At 39.6% G+C, this 19,562-nt stretch overlaps 1 long non-coding RNA gene across 1 annotated transcript in view; it reads right to left on the bottom strand.

Moving 5' to 3' along the window:
• Positions 1–7,791: 7,791 nt before the first annotated feature.
• Positions 7,792–19,562, bottom strand: part of DELEC1 (deleted in esophageal cancer 1) — a 260,827-nt gene continuing 249,056 nt past the window's right edge. The window contains exons 6-8 of the long non-coding RNA NR_163556.2: positions 10,004–10,077; positions 9,126–9,243; positions 7,792–8,318 (exon numbers count right to left, since the gene is read on the bottom strand). This is a non-coding gene — a long non-coding RNA (deleted in esophageal cancer 1). The remainder of the gene's footprint in view (positions 8,319–9,125; positions 9,244–10,003; positions 10,078–19,562) is intronic.

Raw genomic sequence — 19,562 nt, 5'->3', positions numbered from 1 at the left:
CACCTGCTAACTATTCCACACTAACCCTTCCTGCTAGGAGCTACTCTGTAAGTTTTTCTTTAATACTCGTAGAAACATTGTAAAGTGTTATTTATCCCATTCACAGAAAAGGTAACTAAAACATAGAAAAGTTAAAGTGGCACCAATTGTAATAAAAGGGTTAAGCAAACGGAGTGGGGATTACAACTAAGGTCAATTCTATGAGTTGCAACCTCACTTTGCTGCCTTTTTTTTTTTTAAGTACCAAAAACTGTTTTTGTGTCTTTTGAGCAAAATATTTTGGTGGACTTAAAAAAAATTACCCAGTTTTACAGATCAAATCTTGTTAGTGTCTCCCAAATCTTTTTTCTATTCCCACTGCCGACACCAAATTCAAGACAAGATGTCCTCTGAGAATTGCAAAAGCAACTTCTCAGGTCTGTCTTCCCTCCCACGTTGTTCTCTACTCTGCATCCAGAAATCAGTATAATATTGTTTTACTCGTTACTTTTTGTACTTTGTTCTATTTATTTATTTTTATTTATTGTGAGGTCTTCAAGGACAAGCATTTGGTTTATTTTTCTCTCTGCTGAATGTCCCAGTGTCTGACGATGTCTGACTCTCAGTGTTTTCATTTATTCTTCTACATCTAAATACCTTCCATAGACCAAAGAACTCCAAATTTATATGTCTATACCACACCTGTCCCCAAAACTTTGATTTTAATAATTGTCTTTGTACTTGCATATGCAATCAATATTTTGATCAAAAACTAAACTTCTTATCTTCTCCCACAACATGTTCCCAGCTTCTTTCCCACCGTCTTCCCCATGGGACACAGCTAAGGACAACCCCATCCTGTCAGGTGCTCAAGCTGATAACATGAAGTCATTCTGGACTTTCCATCTGTCCTTGCACACCACTTCCAATGGATCAACACATCTTGTTGGGTGTCACTACAACTTTTGACCATACGCACTGCTTCGACTACAATCCAAGTTACCACCATTTTTTATTCTTGGGTTAATGTACCAGCCTCCTAACTGGTTTCTTTGTTTCTGTCCTTGTTTCATCTCAACTCCAAGGAATTGTTCTGGACTGGAAGCGTTAGTACTTCAAGCTTCTACTCAGAACATTCCAGTGGCTTCCCTTCTGATCCAGGGTAAGCGCCAAAGCCTGCACAATGTTCCACATGGTCTGTCATCTCTCTAGATTCATCTCCTCTCCAGCCCCATGAGCTTTCTTGGTGTTCCTCAAACACACCCAATACCCTCTTTCCTGTAGACCTTTGCCCTGGTTTTCCCCTTTGCCTAGGATGTTTTTCTCATGGATACCCACATGGCTTACCCTTCACCTCCTTCATATCTTTGCCCGAATGCCACCTTCTCAGTGAGGTTTTCCCTGACTACTACATCTAAAACTGCCATCTGCTCCTTCGAGGAAGAAGGATTTGTCTGTCTTTTGTTTGTTTGTTTTTGTGTTTATTTATTTTTCTGCTTTGTCTCCAGTGCCTTTATGTGTTCAATAAATGTTTGTTAAATAAAAAGTACGAGATGCATGACAAATACCTGACAAGTAAATGTACAAATAAATAACTGTCACCTAATGATTGTTGGCTCTCCATTGCCCTGGAATCATGTTAAAAATGCTAGAACACAAGGTCCTCCAGAATCTCATCCTTGAATCTTGGTTGAGCTTTATTTCTCAACAGCCACCTCATCATGACTTGCTTACATCCACATACACTGTGTCCCAGCCACATTTAAATAACTATTTAGAGTGAGTACACAACTCTTTCTGTCTCCTCAGTCCATTCAGAGTTTTCCTTGGCATATCACATTTCCCCCCCCATTAGAAAGGGTGGCCTCCCAGTTTGTCTTCTTCTCCCCTTGTAGCACTTACCAGATTGCATTTCTCTACTGCAATTTTCTGCTTCTGAGAGACCTCCCGTGTGAGACTGATGTCCCTGGAGGCAGAGGGCATAATTTTCTAGCCACTGTATCTCCAAGCCCAAGACAGTGGGCAAAGTTGTCTGATACTTGTTATCAATACTTTTTTCATGATAGGACACTGCTTCCGTCTCATCCAACCTGGAATACTCCCAGCTTTGTCCCATTTCAAGTCTTTAGCTAATTTAATCTTCATTTTATTCTATGTAAAATGAGAGTGGTAACAATAAAAAGTAAACATTTCTGTCTTTCCAAATAAAGAAAAACTCCAAAAGTTTGAGTATCTTTGATACAAAATTTTAACATTCATTCATAGCTTTCAGTTGTGGTTAAAAATGGAGTAGATTAGTCATTATACACATTAAAAGCCACTTTTATTTAGTCTATAGTCTATACAACAGTTCAATGAACAGTCATGATTTTATCTAGAAGAACTAAAACAATGAAACATTTAAAAATGTCAAGTTGACTGAGCCCCATTAACAAAAGTCATGCAAGATGCAAATGATATTAACTGGCTTGGGTCAGATTATGTCTTGAGAAGTGATTACCTTTTTCTTCTGGAAAGAATTCCCCTTGCTACTGGCCTTGCCTTTCCTCCCAAAGCCTTTGATCTGTGATCTCCCTTAGTTGTTTAGGAAGCTGGAGATACCATCTCAGATCATATACTGATGTGGCAATACACCTGAGAAATGGGCACAGAAGATGATGATGCCCTCCAGACATGCTGGGGAGAGGAAATGGCTTTCCCTGGTTGGGACTCTCAGTTGGCCACTGGCCATCAGTTAAGGAGGAGGTGGCAGGGGAGAAGTCAAGGAGGTGGAGTCAGTACTCAGAGGTTTCAGCTTCTGCTCTGGAAATCCAATCATGGACCATCAATCACCTCCTTTTGCCGTTCAGATCCTTAGCTTTGCCAAAGACAGCAATCCTTTGAGAGGATAAGGAGACACTGTAGTAATCACATATATTCATGGAGGAGAAGACTAGTGGGCTTGTTCTTTTAACCCTGCTTCTCCAGTTCTTAGGTTTACCACTCTCAGTCTAAGAGATATGTGCCTATGGCTGGTCCATCCCATCATATGTGTCTAAAAGTTTCTCCTAGCTGACATTTCCAGCCATCGTTTCCAAATTGGTGATGTGTTAAAACATCCTCTTGGGATGTCTGTTTGCAATTTGTTCTTAGAAATGCATGAAAATTGTTCAGTTATGCTGGAGATGCAAAGACAGAGATTGGTTCATGAGGACAGTTTTCTGATCATGGTTTTAATTTTTCTAAGCTGGAGCTTCACTGTGCTTTGATAAAATTGCCACAATATCAGGATTCAGAAAAACCTATGTTTTCTCAAAGATATTTTAACTCTATAAAATATTTACCAGATAAGTGTATCTTTGGGAATATGAAATCAAATTATGGTTGTAAAGCTATAGTGATTTGGGAATAAATAACTGATTCAGTTAATTGGGCTATGAAATGTTTGACAGATATCTTCCCTGTGCTCTTTATCCTATAGGAAACTTAAATTTTCTAAACCAAATGTAAGCCAAGTGACCCCAGGCTCTCTATCCTCCTTGGGGCAGCTTTCCCTTTCACATCCAAATAATATGATCCAGGTCCCAATACTGAGTATGCAGGAAGCCTTGCCTGTTTCCCATATAATTCTGAGAATCCCTAGGAAGTGATTGTATGTTCCACAAATCTATCTTAGTTGGGCTTCTCATCTCTCATTCCAGGTCAATGCCCCCAACTTCTTTTCCATCAGCTGAGACAAAACACTCAACTTTATCAAACTTTGCTAAGGCTTGAGCATGATACAAGAGAGTGAAAATGCATAAATAAAAACCCAGAGCTGGATACAAAATATCTCCCCCTTGAGTACACACACCATTTCTCTTTATTCTCTTTACAGGACACCCCCATGGTCATTTTTCTCAGCATTTGAGGTGTCACAGGAGAAAAGTTGCTTTTCTCAGGTCGCCTTAACCCCTGCTGTCTCTTAACCCCACCAGAACATTGAAGAAATTAAAATCAGCATCATCATCATCACTGAGAGATGCCTTCTGCTTAAAATGAACATCCTTTGTTTGAGAACCTTACATTCTAGACTGAGGACAAACCCTCTACATTATTACTTTGGTTCTAAACTTTCCTTAGAACAATAAGTGATAAATTACCTATATCTCTAAGGTAACAAAGGCACATCTAAAAGTCTCCTCCAAGAGATAGATTCCATCTTGATTTACAGAATGCAGAAATGTCGCACACTTTTTAAAATAGCTTTAAGGGGGATAGGAGAGGAGATGCACCCTGCATTCAATACTAGCATTTTGAGAACTTCCTGGCCCTACGAACTAGCAGACTTCAGAATAAGCTGAATGTTTAAATTCCGAGGATGCAGCAGTTGACAAGACGGATCCAGCTTTCAGTCTAATGAAACATCTAGACAAAAAGTCAAACTGCTTTAGGAACCATGATAAGTACCATGATAGAGCAGCCCACAGGGTGGTGGGGTCTCAGGGGAGCTGTACTATGTCTTATAAAGTCCCAAATACGTTTGAAGGCTGTGGCTTGGAAGTTAAATTGCAATTAAACCTCTTGAGTTTGACACTTGGCAATCCATAAATTCCTCTACAAAAAGAAACAACCATACCACCACTAAAACCACATACTCTACCTCTTAAAACATCCCATGACACCTTGGATGCTAAATAATTCCGTGCGGCAATCTTTCCCAGGAGTTAAGAAAACATTAGACAATATCTATTTTAAGTATCTTCTGAAAGACATGTTGTCAAAAATAAAGAAATGGAGACACCTGAAAATGAAGAATGGCTTAGCCTTTAAATGATGAAATAGTGGAAACTCCACTTATTATGTTGTGTAAAATTAACAGATAATTGTGCATTTTCTGGAAGCAAAAATTTTAAGTTATTTTTATTAGTGTTGTTCAATTGTACTTTTTAATGTCAAAATTGTTAAGTAGCAATTGTAGTATAAAGTAGTAGATAGGACCGTGAGCTTGCAGAAGCAGAAAATCTACTTAAATTTGAGCTCTGCCACTCTCTTGGGTAGCCTATCAGCCTCTCTGTGCCTCAGGTTGCATAATATTAAAATAGGGATTATTGTGATAATGAAAGAAGTATAAATAAGTTATTTTTCACACTGTAAGCATTCAATAAATATTAGTTTATATTATTAGAAAACAAAAAATTTGGGAAAATTTTAAGAAAGAAGTATAGATTATTCTTCATCCCACAATCAAAAGCCAATCAAAAATAAAGTTGTGGGTTCATACACATTTTTTTCAGGTGTATATGTGTGTGTTAATTCTAGAAATATGGATTTATTCAGTATCTAATACATAGATTTTGTTTTGTTTTGTTCTGTTTTTTAAAGAGATAGGATCTCACTATGTTGCCCAGGTTGGTCTCAAACTCCTGGGCTCATGTGTTCCTCCCACCTTGCTCTACTAATGTGCTAGGATTATAGGTGTAAACCACCATGCCCAGCCCTAATACATAGTTTTGAAATGCTTCTTACCTGGGCTATACATTAGACATGTTTTCATGTCATTGAATATGGGTGTAAGTCATCTTAACAGCTGCGTTTTGTTCCATTGTATGACAATGCTATTATTTTATGAAGTGTCTATATTATTTGAGTTTAACTTTTACTTTATACCATTTTTGTTTACTATTTCTTTTAAGAGCATGCACAAAGAGCTTCACTGTATACATGCATTTTTTTTTAGCATTCATCATATCATTTATAGGAATGTAACTGTTCGGTCAGCCAATAAACTCTTTTACCTACTTGATAACTTACCATCAAATGGCCCTCTGGAATTTATACCTCCCATATTCTGTATAAGAATGTCTCCAAAACATTCCATTTGAGGCTCTGTGTGTGCTTGAGCACAGGGGCTGTGCAAGCCCTTCAGTCCTAGAGGTTCAGAGCATCACTCCTTTCTGTGTGTCTTGGCCCAGCTAAAAAGACATTGCCTGAATTGGTTACTATTTAGGCAAGTCAGAGTTTCTACAGGACATGTAATTCTATACCAGTTTCTTCCTTACACTTTCTTGGCTGCAGTCCCTTCACTTGTAAAATGAGAATAAAATAGATATTGTTATTGAGAAGATTAAAAAGTGGTAATGTAAAATATATAGTACCTGATTCATCATAAGCATTTAGCAAACATGTGCTCTATTGCCCCATTCTTTTATAAATTGCAAGTTTTAATGCCACAGTGCTTTGTAAAAAGTAGGTGTCAATAAATGTTTATGCTTATATTTTTAATCATTTTACTCTTGAAAAGGATATCAGGGATAATACATCAAAGAAGACATCTATGAGCTTAGCTAGCATTAAGGAGTGGACGAAGAAGAAGAAAAAGGAGAAGAAAAAGAAGAGGGGAGAAGAAAAAGTGGGGGAGGGTGAAAAATAGAAAGAAGGGTGGAGGAGGGAGGGATTTTAAAGACAAGCAGACCTAGGGTGAAATCCCAGTTCTGTCACTTACTAGCTGAGTGAATTGGGGTTTTGAGTTAACCTCCTTGATTCTCAGTTTCCTGTTCAATAATGAGCAGCTAATGACTTCTGTCTCAATGTGTTCTTATGAGGATTTATTGTGAGAGTATAGATAAAGTAGTAAGAATTATTTTAGACAAACACCAGATATCCAATAAAATGTAACTCTTTTCTGTATTGCCATCATTATTTCTACCATTGACATTTTTAATCCATCATTATGTCCATTATTGACATTATACATTATGTCTAGTGATTAACTCTTTAAGAAATCTTCGTGGATTAGCACAGTAAATCTATGCCTTGCCCCCATGACGCACATCAATATGATTTATTCATTCATTCATACTAGAGCCACACACTGAATTTACACCTCAGTCAAACTCGGGGCTTTGCTTATGGACAGTGACTAATCAATACATGTTAATTGTACTAATTAATTAATTGGTACAGTGTTAATTATCAGTGTCATAGGAATATGGATAAACTCAGCATAGAAAGAAGGCTTCTTTCTGTCTTGCATTCTACAGACAATTTGCTCATAATTCATTGCTAACAACAATTACATTAAATCCATACCTATATATCTACTTCTATATCTATATCTATCATCTATCTGACTGTATTAGTCCATTTTCATGCTGCTTGTAAAGACATACCTGAGACTGGGAAGAAAAAGAGGTTTAATTGGACTTATATTTCCACATGACTAGGGAGGCCTTAGAATTACGGCAGGTGGCGAAAGGCACTTCTTACATGGCGGTGGCAAGAGAAAATGAAGAGGATGCAAAAGCGGAAACCCCTGATAAAACCATCAGATCTTGTGAGACTTACTCACACATACTACGAGAACAGTATGGGGGAAACTGCCCTCATGATTCAAATTATCTCCCACAGGGTCCCTCCCACAACACATGGGAATTATGAGTGTACAATTTGAGATGAGATTTGGGAGGGGACACAGAGCCAAACCATATCACTAACTATACATGCAAACATATCTCTCTCTCTCTCTCTCTCTCTGTCTATATATATATGTATGTATATATATACATACATATATGTATACATATATGTATGTATATATATACATACATACATATATATAAATGTCTGTTCCTTTGTTTTCATTTTTTGTTTGCTGATTTGTTTTTGTATTTTGTTTGCCACAAAAAGGAAAAAAACGATGTAAGACCAAATCTTGAAACCAGAATAGGCAGTGGCAGATCTATACCATTTACTCTAAAAGTTGATGATAAAGGAAATCTTCAGGGCAAGTGCTTTCTGACAGCTGTACCATATTGGAGCTTACAGAGATTAGGATGAAAAGGAATGCTTTTTGCATTGCCTCTGACTGCAAATTAATCAGAATGTATAGACTAGAAAAGAATCCTTGTTGGAAAGTATGCCAGAGAGATAACACACATAGGTGTGCCTCAGGGACACAGCACTTCTAGGACGTGGTCTTCCGTAGCTCCAAGCAGTACACATACCCTACAAAGAAGCCCGGTTGAATGCTCCGAGGAAACTCTTTCATATATTCTTATAGAAAAAGCCTTTCTAGTAAATGATAACTGGTAAATTAACCCCCTCCAAATGTGTCAACACATTCTTAAGTAATCTTCGTAGGCACAAGCCTCTCTAGAATAGTTTGTGCATGTCTCTGAGGAGTTAAATAGATGATTCTAAACGGATTTAGATTTTTGTGGGTTCAGCAGCCCAATGTTGTATTGTGGGGGAGGTAAGGTTCTTTTTGTCTGCTTCGCTTTTATTTTTTCCTCTATTCTCAAGCTGTCAAGTCTTCTACTGACATTTTAGCTGTTTCTGGCAACTCCTCTTCCTTTTCCAAGTCACTTACATTCAATCTGCTGGGAGACAAAAAAAAAAAAGCAAATAACCAAGCTTGCTAAATAAAGTGTGTTTAATAAGATGTCATGAAACCCAGCAAGAAAGCCAGGGGGTTTGTGCCTTCATTAATTAAATCGGATCTACAAATATTCACTGGGCTTCCTTTGTGCAAGGCCTTGTGATGATCTGTGAGCTATGCTTGCTGTAGGCAATAAAACACTGGTGTTTGGGGTCTGTAACATTTGAAAACTATACTTCTATTTTCATGAGGCTTTTAAAATGTCTGAGTTTATGGCTAATTATGAATGGTCAATACTGTTAACCTTGGACCTCTAAAGATTTGGTTAATTACAGAACCACTCTGCCTATGTATATGTGAATTTTCTATGACTCCCAAAGTATCAACATGTGTAATCTCTTGTTTTGTCCACTTTTGAGCTAAGGAAGGTTGGAATGTTTAGCCACATCTTAGAAGACAGTTAAAGGGGCTTATAAACTGGAATCATTTCAAATCCTTTAAAATATTAGACTAGAATCTACTGATTCATTAGGTCAAAGCCCATGCCCTAAGCCTTTGTCCAAGCATCAAATAACTAGCTTTTAGATCTCACTTATTGCCATGCCTAAGATGCCATATTGGAAAGGACACTGACCCAGGAATCAGCAGTTCTGGATTGTAAGAGGAAATCTGTAAGAAACTCATAGGCAAGTACCTCTGAATCCCAGGTTTGTCTCTTTTCATCTGTGAGATGAAGATGATCACATCTACCACATAGGATGAAATGATAATGTCCCTTAAAACACTATTATTAAATGAAGTATATTACCAATTCCCTCTGCAGCCTTGGGCCTGGCAAGAGATACAGCAAAATCCTTTCCTCCATTGTAGCAGACTCCTGCTTGCCACTTTACAGACCTCTCTCTGTGCAGGGCATCAGTAAAAACCTAAAGATAATAAGAGACACAAAGAAGGTATCCGTGTAGGCCATCTCCCTGGATGTACCACTCACCACATTCCTTTCACACTAGGTTGGGCAGGAAAAGCAATTCCGGGAAAGAGTTGTTCAGAGCCTCCCTGGGAACCTTGGTGTGTTTCTCTCTTGCTGGCCACTGGCTGGCCTAAGGTCACGCACAGGGAAGAACACCAGCTCCATCCAGACTCCTTGCAAGAATTTCAATGATGCATGTTAAAGACTAACAGATGTGCACTTTCTCCTCTTGCAGTCTGAGGCCAGACACCAGCTCCACTGGATGTGAGGCCTGTCTCAGGGGCTCAAACAGCAAGCACCCTAAAGTCCCCTCAACAGTGTAGAATCATATGCCATGGCTTTTGTTTTAAATGTGGAGATGTAATAGAGAGATATGGGTGCTTAAGAGGCTAGAGTAGACAATCCTGGGTAGATTTCTGACTCTGACACTTTCTGGCTATGTAACTTTGCTAAATGCATTTTTCTTATCTCTAAAAAGGGGATAGCTACTGCTGTAGTTTGAGTGTTTGTCCCCTCCGAAACTCATGTTGAAATGTAAGTGCCATTGTATCAGTATTAAGAGGTGTGGTCTTTAAGAAGTGATTAGGTCATGGGGACTCCACCTTCATGAATGGATTAAAGCCTTTATGCCAGGAGTGGGCTAGTTATCCTCAGAGTGGGTTTTATAAAGCTAGTTCTGCCCCTCATACTTCCTCTCTTACTGAGCTTTCACCTACCATCATGTGTAACACGGCAAGAAGGCCCTCACCAGGTGCTGGCACAATGCTCTTCCACTTCCCAGCCTCCAGAACTGGAAGAAATAAACTTATTTTCTTTATAACTTACCCAGTCTTAGGTATTCTGTTATAGCAACAGAAAACATCATCAGATGGCAATCTTTTGTAATGATCTAATGAAATAATGTTCAATACACATTAGTACATTGCACAAAGTACCATGTCTATAATTTATTAATCTTCTCAGTCCATTAACCTACCTAGCAGATCCCATGGGAATTACTCCATTCTCTGCAAAAGTTGACAATAAATAAAATATTTGGGGCAAGTGCTTTCTGACAGTTGCACCACAGGAGCTCATAGAGATGAAGATGAAAAACAAATTCTTTGTTGTTGTTTTTGCATTCCCTCTGACAGCAAACTCATCAGGTTGCATAGAACAGATAATTGACTAGTGCTAATTAGATTCCCTGCTGCCCTCTAGCCTTCCACCTTTGCTCCATGGTTCTCACATGGCTATGCTACAATCCATCCCTCCTTGCCCATGGTGGGAGGGAACAAAGGATGTGTAGTATGGACAAGGATGCTGCTGCCTCCCATTCCCAGAGCCCTCCCTTATGAGAAAGGAAAGCAGCAAAGACAGGAAATAGTCAGGGTGATTCCCTTCCCACTTCCGGGAGTCAGCTCTCTCATTCTCTCCTAAACCCCTGAAGAATCCTCCTGACTTAACTAGTTATGACCTTCAAGGAGGACCCATGGTCACTGCCTATTGAAAGTGTTCAGCAGATATTGAGGGTGTAGGTAAATGTTACATTTTACAAATCTGTAAATGAGCCACACAATGCTCTGGGGATGCTCCTTTCAAAATCAGGAGACATTTTAGTGGTACTAGAATAAACACAGTGGCTACAATTTGAGTACTCATAATACGCCAGAGACCATGTTAAATATACTATAGCCATTACTGATGTTTAAGGACACACGGAAAGACTGAGCAACATTGTCAAAGACCACATCCAGAAAGGGACAAAACCAAGATCCACACCCAGTCCTGGCCAAATCCAATGGTGGTTTCCTAAACTGCTGTGCTGCTATGCATCCCCCAGTTGTTCTGTATCAGTTTTGCAGTGTTTCTCTACCTCTGACTGTTCCAGGAAAAGAAAGTAATAGCATCTGCAGTGATGTGCCCCACACATCCAGATATGCTCTTCCTGGCAGTGTGGGATGGTGACAGTCATGTCACCTCTTTGTGCCTGCTTATCATTTGTCAGAGAAGATAATACTAGCACTGGCTCCTTCCATCTTAACCACAAGCTGGCTAAGAGTAATGCTGAAGATATTTATGAAATATTCTAAATAATGTTCCCAGTGTAGTCCCAGCACGTAGTAAGCATATTAATCCTCATTTCCCCTTTTCTATGTCCAAGAGGCTGTTTAGGGAGAATTATGGTAATTTCTTTGGGAAAAGTTTACTTCCTGTCTATCATTAAGGCTAATTGGGTTTCTACCTTTGAAATTTTCTAAACATAGGTATCTGATAAAACATCAAATTGAAGGAAGGTAAAAGAATATCTATATCTATCTCTCTATTTGTCTTTCTCTATATATATATTTGGTGGTGTGGGGAGTTTAAATAATTTTCAACAACTGGTATAGTGAATGACAATCTGCTTAGAAAAGAATTCAAACAAATAGTAAACATGCTGAAATGTTCAAGGAAACCTTGCCAATAATTTGATATATTTTTAGGAAGAAAGGGAAAACAAATTTATTTTAATTTTAATGATTGTTGTGGTTATAGTGTTTTCTTTTTCCACATTCGGCACAGAGTGACTTAGAGATTCTCCATAATAAGTGTCTTAGGTCCCCGAGGCAGGCTGTGATGTTGAAAAGTGTGATAGGACAGAGGCATGATTTTAAGCAGCTGTTGGGGAGATGTGGAGAAGAGGTGCATTTGACCCGTGCCCTGCTCTTCTTGCTTTGAAAAATAAAAACAGGAAGTTAATCTCAACAATCTCTGGCAACAAGGTTGAAAGAAATAGAGAGGGACAAGGAATTTTTACAAAATGTTCTTTTTTATAGTTTCCAAAACTACTCAAGTCACAGCCCAGTGTGGTTGGCATGGGAAGGGGTGGTTGTGCTCCACGCTGTCATTGAGGACCTCAGCTCCTTCCACCCTACAATGCTTTCATCCACAACACAGGGTCTCAATGGTTGCTGCAGAAGGAGCAGAGTTTAGAACACATGTCAGGTTTTAGGGCCAGGCCTGGAAATGGTGATGTCGCTTCTAGGCAAAACCGAGTCATATCATGCTCACTTCACTGCAAAAAGAGAATGTGAGGTGTCTTCATAAATACCCAGGACAAACTGGAAGGCTTTCATGCACATATTTTACTGTCTCTGTTGTATGCCTTCTTTGAATTTTTTGCTTCTACCCTGGCCCCCTTCAAACTAATATTAACCCAGCAGCCAATGGAATCATTGAAAAAATATAATTTGATTATGCCACTTCAGTGCTCAAAACTCAGCAGTGACTTTACAGTTTTTACAGAGTAAAAGCCTAAGTCATCACAATGACCTGTATGGGCCCCCATGATTTGGCCCCATTATCTTGCAAACCTCAGCTTCCACTACTCTCCCGTCACTCACAGGCAAGGCTCTAGCCATGCCTGGCACCTTAGAATCTCTTCTCTTGCTTTGTCCTCTGCCTGGAAAGCTCTTTCCCAGATTCCTCTCTGGAGCTTATTCAAACTCAAATTTACCTTTTCAATGAGGACTACCATAGTCATCCTACTTAAAACTGTAATTGTCCTTCTACCTAACACTTCTGATCTCCTTTGCCCTCCTCTCTTTCTTCCAGATCACTTAGCACCTTTTATCTAGTATTTAAACTGGTATTGTGATTATCGTCCGTTGTCTGTGCCCACTTCGCCTACACAATAAACACTCTTTAAGTAGAAAGCCGTGCTGCGCAAGGTGATGGCTGACAATGGAAAGGGAGACATTATACATATTTTATTCTATATCTTACTGCAGAGGCAAATGTTTGTGTCTTTCTTGTTCTGTGACGTAACCTGAGTACCTAGAGTAGGGCTTGTAACGTAGCAGGTGCTCTATTCATCCTTGCTAAAGGAATGAATGAATGAGTTAGAATATATGTGACTGAATGGAATGAATGGACCCAGGACAAGGCCCTGAGACTTTGTCAATTTTTTCAAAACAGGTTTAAATCCTGTACTTTGCACTTAATAGCTGCGGACCTTGGTAGATTCATTTTGCATAGGCAATGTTCTGTTTTCTCTTCTGCAAAATGAGGGTTTTCACCATAACTATTATATCTACCTCTTAAATTCACTGTAAACATTGAAACATTGAATACATCTTATACAAAGGGAAATAACTTTAACAACAGAGGCACTAATCAGTGTTATGTATCTAAGGGTATGGATTGCTTACTCTGCTTCTTGCATGGGGAATATGTATTGCTCTGGTGTGATATCTGGTTGAAGACTGGTAAGGAATCCCTGGGATAATTCCCTGAAAGCCTGCTGTCTACCACTGCTTGCTTGGCAACTTCTGATAAATAATAAGACTACATCCAGTTGGTTTCATAGACAGGCCCTAGGAGGAGTGTTCAGGGCTCTTTCTGAGGCAGCCAAGGCAAGTAGAGGCACACCAGGCCGCGGTTGTTGTTGCACTTGCTGGGACTTTCTGTTGAAAGAACTATCTCCCCTCTGGTTAGAAAACAAAGAATTCAAAGGCAATCAGACATCTCTGCCTACCACAACCCTTCATGCAATCAGGTTGAACTGCCAGGCCAAACCCTGTCTGGAATGAAAAGAAATAAGAGATGGTTATCCTTAATGCCCTATTATGCCTAAGAACCCTTTGCTTTCTTCACTCTTGGGTTTCATATGGGCTCCAGGAGGTGGCATTAAAGAGTGAAGCTTTATCTATTCTCTGTTAGTGTTTGTGTTTTATCCATTCTCTGCACTTGTGTCCCCTGGAGGAAAACAAAATTACTCCAACTCCACCCTGGAACTTTAATGTCAACTCTTCACTGGGGAGCTACAGAAAAGGATATTGGTGAAAAGTATGTGGCTACTTGCCATGAACAGATAAGGATTGTCTGTAACTGAACAGATAAGGGTTGTCTGTAGCTACTTAAAACTGAATGACTGCCTACAAATGCTTGAACAATTTATTCTTTCAAACAAAATGATTTTCTCTACATCATTCTATGAGTACTACTTATCTTTTTATGTGAAAAACATTATCATGGTCATGAAGAAACTAAACCACATCCTGCCTGAGTGATCATCTACAGTTTCATTTATAACCTTGAAATTTAGAAAATTTTCCTGAGCAAACAGACCTTCCTCAAATTCCCACTTTTACTATGATTTTTATCTATGGTCTACTCACCTTTTTAAAACCCATAATAAGAAGCATTTGCTCTTGCAATCTGCTCTGATTAAGGAGAGTTTAGAAGTCCTATGGGAAGTTTCAGAAAGGAGTTCCCAGAGGCTATTTACAAACCTCATGGAATCTAAACACTTCATTGAATAGGAAAGTTGGCATCTTGCCTTCTAATGGAAGTAAGATAAACATGGCCAGGTGGAAGGGAAGCTGCCCTCCAAGACCAAGTTCTAGCCTGAAGAGCCCTTTAGCTCATCCAAAACTCTGAGAACATCTTAAACGGAAGACTCTCAAAGAAATAAATGTTCCCATCTGTGACTGCCTCATTCCTGGCTCCTCCTTGGAACCCCTTAACTTGCCACTGAAAACCCTGGGGAGTTATATCTTGAGCTGTGGACAAACTGATTTCAGGGGCTTTCCTTGTTACCACAGTGATATCTGGGCAACAATAAGCAATTTACCAAAGGACATGCCCTTTTTTTTCCTGTTATCTTCACCCCTCTGTTTTCCCAAACTGAACTGCTCTGTGGGAACTCACAGACATCCCCTCAGATCACTCTCTCAGCTCCCTCTAGCAATGTCCCGCTCAAGCTCACAAACCCACTCCTTCTCTCTGTGCTTCTGACCTGATAAGACCTTATTATAGCTCCTATGCATTGATTTCTACTAAGGTCAGGCCCTGTGCTTGGAGACTTACATACACAGAATCAATTAATCCTCATATACCTTTGGGGTATTTTCCAATATGATTACTATTTAACACAGGAGGTAGCTGAGAATTAAAAAGTTTAAGAGACCTATCAGAGATTGCACAGCAAGGAAGTGACAGAGATTGTTAATAATGAATGTTTTTCCTCCTTATCTCTTCTCTTTGAGCTTCCTTGAACATCTATTTCATCAGTTCTTGGAAAACACCGATGGACATGCAATGTCACAGCAGTTGTGTGACTATGAGCAACTCCTTCTTTCTCTCTGAATCTGTTTCCCCTTATGTCAAATAATATGATGGGGTTAAGCTTTGTCTATGCCCCAGTGTCCTGGGATTCCAGGGATGCACATGATGGTCGTTGAAGCTGAAACACCCCAATTTGAAAACTCTCACATATTTGATCTCACTAAGCCTACTGAGAAGTTACCAGCTGGCAATGCTATATGGCTCAGAAAGAGGAGAAATTGGGAACATTTCAGTCTAGAGGTCAAGAGAAATAAGACCAGATGCAGAGTTTGGTCACTAAACATTCTTCTGATTTTTGGTAAGATAAAAAAGATCATTAGGTCCTCCAATAATTGTAGTATAGTCAAGCATTGGGGAGATTCCAGTTCACATTCTGACTCTGTCACTAGGTTATTGTATGGTCTTGGGTGAGTCACCAAAATTCTTGGGAATCTGTTTTCCCATCTATAAAGTAGAGACGCTAATAATCATGGTTCCCTCCCATGATGGTTGAAAGGAACAAATTGGCCCCACAGGTATGATTAATCTCTGACTAGCCCATCTCAGCCTATGCATGCAAAAGTTCACAACTAAATATCCAATACGCTCCCTTCTTTTCAGCCACAGCGAGTTGACCTCTTATGGACATAACTCTAGACAACAAAAATAGTCAGAAAAGGATGGGAGGTGATTGGCTTTCTTCCCCCAACTGCCTGACCATTAATGGAATTGAGCAAGAACAGAATTTCTCAACCCTTGCACTTGCTCTTCTGAGCCAGCAAGACCAAGGAAACGATGCCCATTGAAAACACTAATTTTGTTTCTTAGCCAGTGATTTCAAATACGTATTTGATCTTGAGCTTCTCCATTTTTAGACTGAACGTTGTTTGAAAGGTCCATTTAAATTTACTACTTTCTCCTCTCTTGAAGCAGATTTGTCTTTGGATAACCTTGAATAAGAATGGCAAACAAAGATGTATTCAAAAGCTCAGTTAAACTTTCCAAAGCAATGGCCCCCGGTGGGACAGTAGCTGTGACTTTTATTTGAATCCATGTCTCTAGGCACAGAGGCAACATGCACCCAGAAATGTGCTTTCCCAGCATGCCTTGCTCCAGGGTCATACCCTCTTGGGTATTAGTTATTCTTAGCTCCTAACATCAAAACTAAAGTTACATAAAAGATAAAAATGGATGATTTGTCACCCAGCAAGCACCAAATAATGTAACCACAAGGAAAGACACGTTAGGCCGAGCCTGTCTTTCTCTCAGAGATAATTTTCTCTAATGTCTCGCAAGTTACCATTTTTGTTCTCTGACAAATCCTTCCTGACCCAGAGAGCTAAGCCCAGCCCTTCATTTCTCCTTTACAAGCCCAGTGGCTCTTTCCTCCCAGTAAAATGTAGCTTCTTTGTTCTTTATGAAGAATTGTAGTTCCTGACTTGGGCAGGTGCTGTGACTCTGAGTCGACCAGGATTGGCATCATCCACCTGCTGCCACCCTCGCTCCCAGCCAGCATATTTGCTGGTCTTGTTTCTAGGCCCCCAGACCCATCCCAGCTGACCTCTGGAGCAATAGCAAACTCAAGTCTGGTTTCCTGAGGACTGACCTTCTGGAAAAGATGAAACTGTGTCCTGATCCATCTTTTCAAAAGATGCTCTCAGCTTGGCCAGTTTTTGGTCCTTACCAAGGGAACAACAGCCTATGTATATGCTCTAGCTATGAGTATTTTTATCTTCCATGTTACTTAATAATATAGACACAAATAATAAGAATACTAACAAAGGCACTTAATGTAAAATAAAATACTTTAAACACTAATAATAAATTTACACAACTACTAACTCTCGTACACACACTAATAATAACACTAACAAAACTGGTAAGAATATTATATCTACCATATACTGAAAACTTACTCTGCGTCAAACACTCTGACATGCATTTTTCTTGCACTACCTCTAGGTTGCTGCGAGTGGACCATGTAATCTTCATTTTGTACATAAATAAATTAAGGTTCCAAAAGGTTAAATAACTTGCCTACATCATACAGCTAATAAAGGCCAGGGTCAAGATAAACACTCAGGCCTGACTGGGCAAGTCATGCCTTTAATTACTGTCTTCATCTTCTCATCTAGGTGTCAGGTAAATCATCCATGTGAAAAAGGTGGAATTTGGTCCTCTGTCTTGATGAAAGAACTGGCATAAAGAAAGATTTGTGTTACATCTGTAGCCACCAGTTCTACTGGGTTTGACTATCTACCTCCATCTTCACTGATACACAGCTGAATTATTTTGCAGTGAACAGTCCTGGCTAAATGCACCAATATCCAGACACTGTTTGAACCAAATAAATGAGGTGGCATCATTATACAGATTAGAAAAATGCAAGCACTTGGGCTGCATGATTTTTTAATCTCGTCCTTGTCTATTAAGCTAGGAGTCTATGAACAGAAAGAAGGAAGGACAGAAAGAAGGAAGGAAATAAAAAGAAAAGAAGGAAGGGAGGGAGAGAGAGAAGGAAGGCAGGAAAGAGAGGGGGAGGGTACAGTGACATTTATTTTAATAGTAGTTAACATTTATTAAATCTTTCAAAAGTGCAAACCCCGCAGTAAGAGCTCTATGTATGTAATCTCATTTAATCCCTCCAGTAACGCTGATGTAAATGAGAAAAGATGATCCCTTGTGAGGTTAAGAAATTTCTCTAGGTCAGATGACTAGTAAGTGGTAGAGATAGGATTCAGATCCAGAGTTGTTTGCCCAGAGAATCTGCACATTACCACAATGCTATAATGTCTTGTAGGTGCCAAACAATGTGGTACACACTTCACACTGCATTGTGTAGAGTGCTGCAGTACTTAACATATCATGGGGCTTCCTTTTCTTCCTCAGCTGTTCATTCAGTCACTCACTCTAACTCTTTAGCATGATATATAAGGCCCTGTTTGATGTGTTCTTTGCCTAGATCTCCAGCCTTGGTGCCTATCCACCCAACGCTTCCATTTAGTTATCCAGTCAAGCTGGACTTCTTACAGATTTCTCACCTTTGGTTCACTGTCATAGGCTCTCTCTTACTCAAGCACCTCTCCCTGCTCATTCACGCAGCTCACTCCTTCTATACTTTCAAGATTCGGCCTGTGAATTGCCTCATCTGGGAATCTTTGCTGGGTTACTTCTTGTCATAGATGCCTCCTGTGTTAATTTCCTCCACATCCTGAGTTTCTCTCCCCCATGGAAGTCAGTGCACTACACACTGTGCATAAGGTTGGCTATGTCTATCTCTCTCCTCCCAGACTTTGAAGTCCTTGAAAGCAGAGACTATATTATATACACTATTGAATCCCTACTACTCAACATAGTATCTGATACCTAGCAGAATTCTAAGGATATTTCCAACATCAATGAGTGAGTGCATGACTCGCTGGCTGGATGGCTGAATGGAGTGGGCAAAGGAACAAAACTGGAGAACTGCTGCAATGAGTTGTTGCAAATGCTAAAGCTTAGGCAATGAACTAAGCCATAACCCTTGAGAGCCCTAAAAACTACAGAGAGGAAAACACAACACCAATTGAGACAAGTTAGGAAACAAGAGAAGCACATACAAGCTCATCAAGTTCAACCCTCTTAAATTACAAATAAGGAAACCCAGGCACAGAGAAGGGGAGTAGCCAGACAATGATTTATAGCTCAGTGGAGAATAGAACAAGATCTCTTGGCTCCCAGCCCACTGTTCGCTATCTTTTCTTCATCTTAAGATGCACAGAATGGGATGCTGCCCACATAAAATATTGGTTCTAATGAGGAAACTGGGGTTGAAATGGATTTCTTTTAATGAGAGGAAGTGTGCGGAGTACCAAATCCAGCAAAGTCGAACCAATAAAAGGCAATAATGAGAGCTGCAGTTAAAGTTAGACTGGGTAATAGGAAGTGCATCTAATTCCCGAGGAAAGAAGTAAGATGCAGAAACCCCACCACCACCAAAAATATGATACAACATCAGGAGATGCCCAGAACTCCAAGTTACCTCCCTGATTATTTGAGTGATCTTTCTGATGATTCTTCATTGTAACACATGTTTATAATTTGAGATGTAGATACGGATCAGATCATGGAAGGCCTTGCACTCTTTCTTGTGGCCTGCAAGGCCTTCCATAATCTGATCCTTGGGAGGCCAAGGCGGGCAGGTCGCTTGAGCCCAGGAGTTTGAGA

The sequence above is a fragment of the Homo sapiens genome, chromosome 9 (genome assembly GCF_000001405.40).
Source record: "Homo sapiens chromosome 9, GRCh38.p14 Primary Assembly".
Classification (NCBI taxonomy): domain Eukaryota; kingdom Metazoa; phylum Chordata; class Mammalia; order Primates; family Hominidae; genus Homo; species Homo sapiens.
The sequence above is the reverse complement of the archived record's forward strand: the minus strand, read 5'-3'. Positions and strand labels throughout refer to the sequence as shown.